The sequence below is a fragment of the Homo sapiens genome, chromosome 10, assembly GCF_000001405.40.
Source record: "Homo sapiens chromosome 10, GRCh38.p14 Primary Assembly".
In the NCBI taxonomy this organism is placed as follows: domain Eukaryota; kingdom Metazoa; phylum Chordata; class Mammalia; order Primates; family Hominidae; genus Homo; species Homo sapiens.
In genome coordinates, this window is record NC_000010.11 from 84,757,958 (window position 1) to 84,764,997 (window position 7,040).

Below are 7,040 nucleotides of genomic sequence, written 5' to 3' on the forward strand. Positions count from 1 at the left end.
TAATGCCTAGGTTTTCTTCTAGGGTTTTCATGGTTTTAGGTCTAACATTTAAGTCTTTAATCCATCTTGAATTGATTTTTGTATAAGGTGTAAGGAAGGGAACCAGTTTCAGCTTTCTACATATGGCTAGCCAGTTTTCCCAGCACCATTTATTAAATAGGGAATCCTTTCCCCATTGCTTGTTTTTGTCAGGTTTGTCAAAGATCAGATAGTTGTAGATATGCGGCATTATTTCTGAGGGCTCTGTTCTGTTCCATTGATCTATATCTCTGTTTTGATACCAGTACCATGCTGTTTTGGTTACTGTAGCCTTGTAGTATAGTTTGAAGTCAGGTAGTGTGATGCCTCCAGCTTTGTTCTTTTGGCTTAGGATTGACTTGGCGATGCGGGCTCTTTTTTGGTTCCATATGAACTTTAAAGTAGTTTTTTCCAATTCTGTGAAGAAAGTCATTGGTAGCTTGATGGGGATGGCATTGAATCTGCAAATTACCTTGGGCAGTATGGCCATTTTCACGATATTGATTCTTCCTGCCCATGAGCATGGAATGTTCTTCCATTTGTTTGTATCCTCTTTTATTTCATTGAGCAGTGGTTTGTAGTTCTCCTAGAAGAGGTCCTTCACATCCCTTGTAAGTTGGATTCCTAGGTATTTTATTCTCTTTGAAGCAATTGTGAATGGGAATTCACTCATGATGTGGCTCTCTGTTTGTCTGTTGTTGGTGTATAAGAATGCTTGTGATTTTTGTACATTGATTTTGTATCCTGAGACTTTGCTGAAGTTGCTTATCAGCTTAAGGAGATTTTGGGCTGAGACAATGGGGTTTTCTAGATATACAATCATGTCATCTGCAAACAGGGACAATTTGACTTCCTCTTTTCCTAATTGAATACCCTTTATTTCCTTCTCCTGCCTAATTGCCCTGGCCAGAACTTCCAACACTATGTTGAATAGGAGTGGTGAGAGAGGGCATCCCTGTCTCGTGCCAGTTTTCAAAGGGAATGCTTCCAGTTTTTGCCCATTCAGTATGATATTGGCTGTGGGTTTGTCATAGATAGCTCTTATTTTGAGATACGTCCCATCAATACCTAATTTATTGAGAGTTTTTAGCATGAAGGGTTGTTGAATTTTGTCAAAGGCTTTTTCTGCATCTATTGAGATAATCATGTGGTTTTTATCTTTGGCTCTGTCTATATGCTGGATGACATTTATTGATTTGCGTATATTGAACCAGCCTTGCATCCCAGGGATGAAGCCCACTTGATCATGGTGGATAAGCTTTTTGATGTGCTGCTGGATTCGTTTTGCCAGTATTTTATTGAGGATTTTTGCATCAATGTTCATCAAGGATATTGGTCTAAAATTCTCTTTTTTCGTTGTGTCTCTGCCTGGTTTTGGTATCAGAATGATGCTGGCCTCATAAAATGAGTTAGGGAGGATTTCCTCTTCTTCTATTCATTGGAATAGTTTCAGAAGGAACGGTACCAGCTCCTATTTATACCTCTGGTAGAATTCGGCTGTGAATCCATCTGGTCCTGGACTCTTTTTGGTTGGTAAGCTATTGATTATTGCCACAATTTCAGAGCCTGTTATTGGTCTATTCAGAGATTCAACTTCTTCCTGGTTTAGTCTTGGGAGAGTGTATGTGTCGAGGAATTTATCCATTTCTTCTAGATTTTCTTGTTTATTTGCGTAGAGGTGTTTGTAGTATTCTCTGATGGTAGTTTGTATTTCTGTGGGATCGGTGGTGATATCCCCTTTATCATTTTTTATTGTGTCTATTTGATTCTTCTCTCTTTTTTTCTTTATTAGTCTTGCTAGTGGTCTATCAATTTTGTTGATCCTTTCAAAAAACCAGCTCCTGGATTCATTAATTTTTTGAAGGGTTTTTTGTGTCTCTATTTCCTTCAGTTCTGCTCTGATTTTAGTTATTTCTTGCCTTCTGCTAGCTTTTGAATGTGTTTGCTCTTGCTTCTCTAGTTCTTTTAATTGTGATGTTAGGGTGTCAATTTTGGATCTTTCCTGCTTTCTCTTGTGGGCATTTAGTGCTATAAATTTCCCTCTACACACTGCTTTGAATGCGTCCCAGAGATTCTGATATGTTGTGTCTTTGTTCTCGTTGGTTTCAAAGAACATCTTTATTTCTGCCTTCATTTCATTATGTATCCAGTAGTCATTCAGGAGCAGGTTGTTCAGTTTCCATGTAGTTGAGCAGTTTTGAGTGAGATTTTTAATCCTGAGTTCTAGTTTGATTGCACTGTGGTCTGAGAGATAGTTTGTTATAATCTCTGTTCTTTTACATTTGCTGAGGAGAGCTTTACTTCCAACTATGTGGTCAATTTTGGAATAGGTGTGGTGCGGTGCTGAAAAAAATGTATATTCTGTTGATTTGGGGTGGAGTGTTCTGTAGATGTCTATTAGGTCTGCTTGGTGCAGAGCTGAGTTCAATTCCTGGGTATCCTTGTTGACTTTCTGTCTCTTTGATCTGTCTAATGTTGACAGTGGGGTGTTAAAGTCTCCCATTACTAATGTGTGGGAGTCTAAGTCTCTTTGTAGGTCACTCAGGACTTGCTTTATGAATCTGGGTGCTCCTGTATTGGGTGCATATATATTTAGGATAGTTAGCTCTTCTTGTTGAATTGATCCCTTTACCATTATGTAATGGCCTTCTTTGTCTCTTTTGATCTTTGTTGGTTTAAAGTCTGTTTTATCAGAGACTAGGATTGCAACCCCTGCCTTTTTTTGTTTTCCATTTGCTTGGTAGATCTTCCTCCATCCTTTTATTTTGAGCCTATGTGTGTCTCTGCATGTGAGATGGGATTCCTGAATACAGCACACTGATTGGTCTTGACTCTTTATCCAATTTGCCAGTCTGTGTCTTTTAATTGGAGCATTTAGTCCATTTACATTTAAAGTTAATATTGTTATGTGTGAATTTGATCCTGTCATTATGATGTTAGCTGGTTCTTTTGCTGGTTAGTTGATGCAGTTTCTTCCTAGTCTCAATGGTCTTTACATTTTGGCATGATTTTGCAGTGGCTGGTACCGGTTGTTCCTTTCCATGTTTAGTGCTTCCTTCAGGAGCTCTTTTAGGGCAGGCCTGGTGGTGACAAAATCTCTCAGCATTTGCTTGTCTGTAAAGTATTTTATTTCTCCTTCACTTATGACGCTTAGTTTGGCTGGATATGAAATTCTGGGTTGAAAATTCTTTTCTTTAAGAATGTTGAATATTGGCCCCCACTCTCTTCTGGCTTGTAGGGTTTCTGCTGAGAGATCTGCTGTTAATCTGATGGGCTTCCCTTTGAGGGTAACCCGACCTTTCTCTCTGGCTGCCCTTAACATTTTTTCCTTCATTTCAACTTTGGTGAATCTGACAATTATGTGTGTTGGAGTTGCTCTTCTCGAGGAGTATCTTTGTGGCATTCTCTGTATTTCCTGAATCTGAACGTTGGCCTGCCTTGCTAGATTGGGGAAGTTCTCCTGGATAATATCCTGCAGAGTGTTTTCCAACTTGGTTCCATTCTCCCCATCACTTTCAGGTACACCAGTCAGACGTAGATTTGGTCTTTTCACATAGTCCCATATTTCTTGGAGGCTTTGCTCATTTCTTTTTATTCTTTTTTCTCTAAACTTCCCTTCTTGCTTCATTTCATTCATTTCATCTTCCATTGCTGATACCCTTTCTTCCAGTTGATTGCATCGGCTCCTGAGGCTTCTGCATTCTTCACGTAGTTCTCGAGCCTTGGTTTTCAGCTCCATCAGCTCCTTTAAGCACTTCTCTATATTGGTTATTCTAGTTATACATTCTTCTAAATTTTTTTCAAAGTTTTCAACTTCTTTGCCTTTGGTTTGAATGTCCTCCCGTAGCTCAGAGTTATTTGATCGTCTGAAGCCTTCTTCTCTCAGCTCGTCAAAGTCATTCTCCATCCAGCTTTGTTCCGTTGCTGGTGAGGAACTGCGTTCCTTTGGAGGAGGAGAGGCACTCTGCTTTTTAGAGTTTCCAGTTTTTCTGTTCTGTTTTTTCCCCATCTTTGTGGTTTTATCTACTTTTGGTCTTTGATGATGGTGATGTACAGATGGGTTTTTGGTGTGGATGTCCTTTCTGTTTGTTAGTTTTCCTTCTAACAGACAGGACCCTCAGCTGCAGGTCTGTTGGAGTAAACTGCTGTGTGAGGTGTCAGTGTGCCCCTGCTGGGGGGGTGCCTCCCAGTTAGGCTGCTCGGGGGTCAGGGACCCACTTGAGGAGGCAGTCTGCCAGTTCTCAGATCTCCAGCTGCGTGCTGGGAGAACCACTGCTCTCTTCAAAGCTGTCAGACAGGGACATTTAAGTCTGCAGAGGTTACTGCTGTCTTTTTGTTTGTCTGTGCCCTGCCCCCAGAGGTGGAGCCTACAGAGGCAGGCAGGCCTCCCTGAACTGTGGTGGGCTCCACCCATTTGGAGCCTCCCGGCTGCTTTGTTTACCTAAGCAAGCCTGGGCAATGGCGGGCGCCCCTCCCCCAGCCTCGCTGCCGCCTTGCAGTTTGATCTCAGACTGCTGTGCTAGCAATCAGCGAGACTCCGTGGGCATAGGACCCTTAGAGCCAGGTGCCGGATATAATCTCATGGTGCACCGTTTTTTAAGCCGGTCGGAAAAGCGCAGTATTTGGGTGGGAGTGACCCGATTTTCCAGGTGCCGTCTGTCACCCATTTCTTTGACTCGGAAAGGGAACTCCCTGACCCCTTGCACTTCCCAAGTGAGGCAATGCCTTGCCCTGCTTCGGCTCGCGCACGGTGCGTGCACCCACTGACCTGCGCCCACTGTCTGGCACTCCCTAGTGAGACGAACCCGGTACCTCAGATGGAAATGCAGAAATCACCCATCTTCTGCGTCGCTCACGCTGGGAGCTGTAGACAGGAGCTGTTCCTATTCGGCCATCTTGGCTCCTCCAGCACAAGTGATGTATTGACTGAATAATGTGAGTCAGCTGAAATATCCCCGTGTGTGACCAAGAGAGGGGATAAAGAAGGCATCAGCTCAGCTGTGTGAGGAAGAGAATGTGCCTGCAGTGGGGGAGACAGCGGCTGTTTTGGCTGTCGCTGTGTAGCAAGTCAGCCCCAAGTATAGTGGCTCAAAATAACAATAATTTATGTAGCTCAAGAACCTGCAGCTTGCGTGGATGTAGTTGGGGGAGGCTTGTGTTTGCTGAATCACCATCCATTGTGGTTGGACTACAGCTGGATTTTCCACCTCCACGGTGGCTCCCTCATGTGGCTGGCTAGCTGCTGCTGGCTGTCGGCTGGGAGCTCAGTGGGGCTGAGGGCCGGGGCCGTGGATCCTTTCTCTGTAGGCCTCTTTTCATGGGCACCTCCACAGGCTGCTTTGGTTTCCTCACAGCATGACGTTTGGGTTACAAGAGTTGGTGTCCCAGAGAACCAGGCAGAGCTTCATCACCTTCGGTGACTTTGCCCCTGCAACGTCACTTTTGCCACATTTGACTTGTGGAGTAAGTCACAGGGGCCGAACCCCATTCAAAGAGAGGGAACATAGACCTCAGTTCTTGATGGGAGTGGTATCAAAATCACATTGTAAGAAGAGTAGGTGGAATGGAGGACATTGTTGTGGCCATATTTAGAAAATACAATCTGCCACCAGAGCTAACAGGGAGAGTCCAAAGGAGAGAAGAGGCTGCAAAATGTTTTCCTGGGCTTTGGCTTCAGGATCTCTGCTCTGTCTTGAATGGATTGTTGTTACCACCAGGTGATTAACTGATGGTGGGAAAACTCACAGAAAAGGTAGTGTGGTTTGTTCTAAGAGTAGTGAAACTTTTGGAGGGAGAGGTAGCCCAATTAATGGCTTGCTGCCACTCCGTTACAGCTTTGATACAATTTGTGGAATTTGTCTTCATTCTGGTCTGGTGCGAGCAAACCGGAGGCTTCTTTCAATTGGAGAAATGGCAGAAGAAGGCCCAAAGAATTTGTGTAGATTAACACATGCCTGTAGTCCCAGCTACTCAAGAAGCTGAGGTGGGAGGTTCATTTGAGTTCAAGGCTGCAGTGATTACACCACTGCACTCCAGCCAGGGCAGCAGAGGGAGACCCTGACTATTTTTTTTTTTAATAATTTATGTAGAATATCATGAGTATATGTGTGTGTGTGAATGTGTGTGTGTGTGTGTGTCTGCATCCATGTGTTCCAGAAAGTGAGTGATACCACAGATCAGCTGGAGTGTATAAAGGTCAGGAATTGCTGCAGACTGTAAGCTGTTGGGACCGATTCAACAATGTGGGAAGATTTGGGCATTGCCCAGACGCTGGGACAGAAAAGTTCAGACCCTAGAGCCCACAGAACAAAAACGATGTTATAGATAGAGCTGTATAGCAGTTTATACATGCCTTTGAGCCTGAGGAGGTTTACTGTGGACAGGAAGAAGCTTCAGGTAACAGCTGTTTCCCCTTGTCTCATGGGAAGCTGTGGCTCTAGTAACATGGAGATTAGGCAAAATTAAGACCCTTTAAAATTGTTAACTGTTATTTCCATAAACATAACTTTTGTTTTTGCTTTTAAGTGCAGGAGAAAAAGTAATATGGAGAAGAATATTGGGTTAGGGAAGTTCATAGCCATGGGAATGATAAATGCCCTGCAAATTAGTAATTATATGGTCTATTTGTTTAAGAAACTGGTACTTTTTAAACAGTTACTGCGTCTCAGTGGGAAAAATCAGCTTTCAGGGGTGTTAAGTGTATCTGTACATATAAGGGCCCGCCCCTGGTTGAGGTGAATGTGTGAGTATGCTGAGTAAATTTCACTTTAAATATGTGATTTTCCTCTTAGGTCTTAACAACCTGAGAGAGTATGATTCTGTGCTTTTTCAAAGCTGCAAAATCTCTATGCATGGGCCAAAAAAATTAGAAAATTCAAGCATCATTTCAACATAAAGTAGTATAAGTAGTAGCTTCCTTAGGATCAGGTGCTAAATTACAAACTTTACCTTTTATTTAATTATACTTGTCAGGCAGTCAGACAACAAGTATTTATTGAGAGCTTTCTCTGTTTCAGATGCTA

The 7,040-nt window shown here is 42.9% G+C and overlaps 1 annotated feature.

The window, feature by feature from the left end:
* Positions 4,058-4,927: an enhancer, noted in NCBI's record as "H3K27ac-H3K4me1 hESC enhancer chr10:86521771-86522640 (GRCh37/hg19 assembly coordinates)". NCBI's record gives its function as "activates a minimal SCP1, AML or CMV promoter by ChIP-STARR-seq in naive H9 embryonic stem cells {active_cell/tissue: H9 hESC(naive)}" and the evidence as "EXISTENCE:reporter gene assay evidence [ECO:0000049][PMID:30033119]".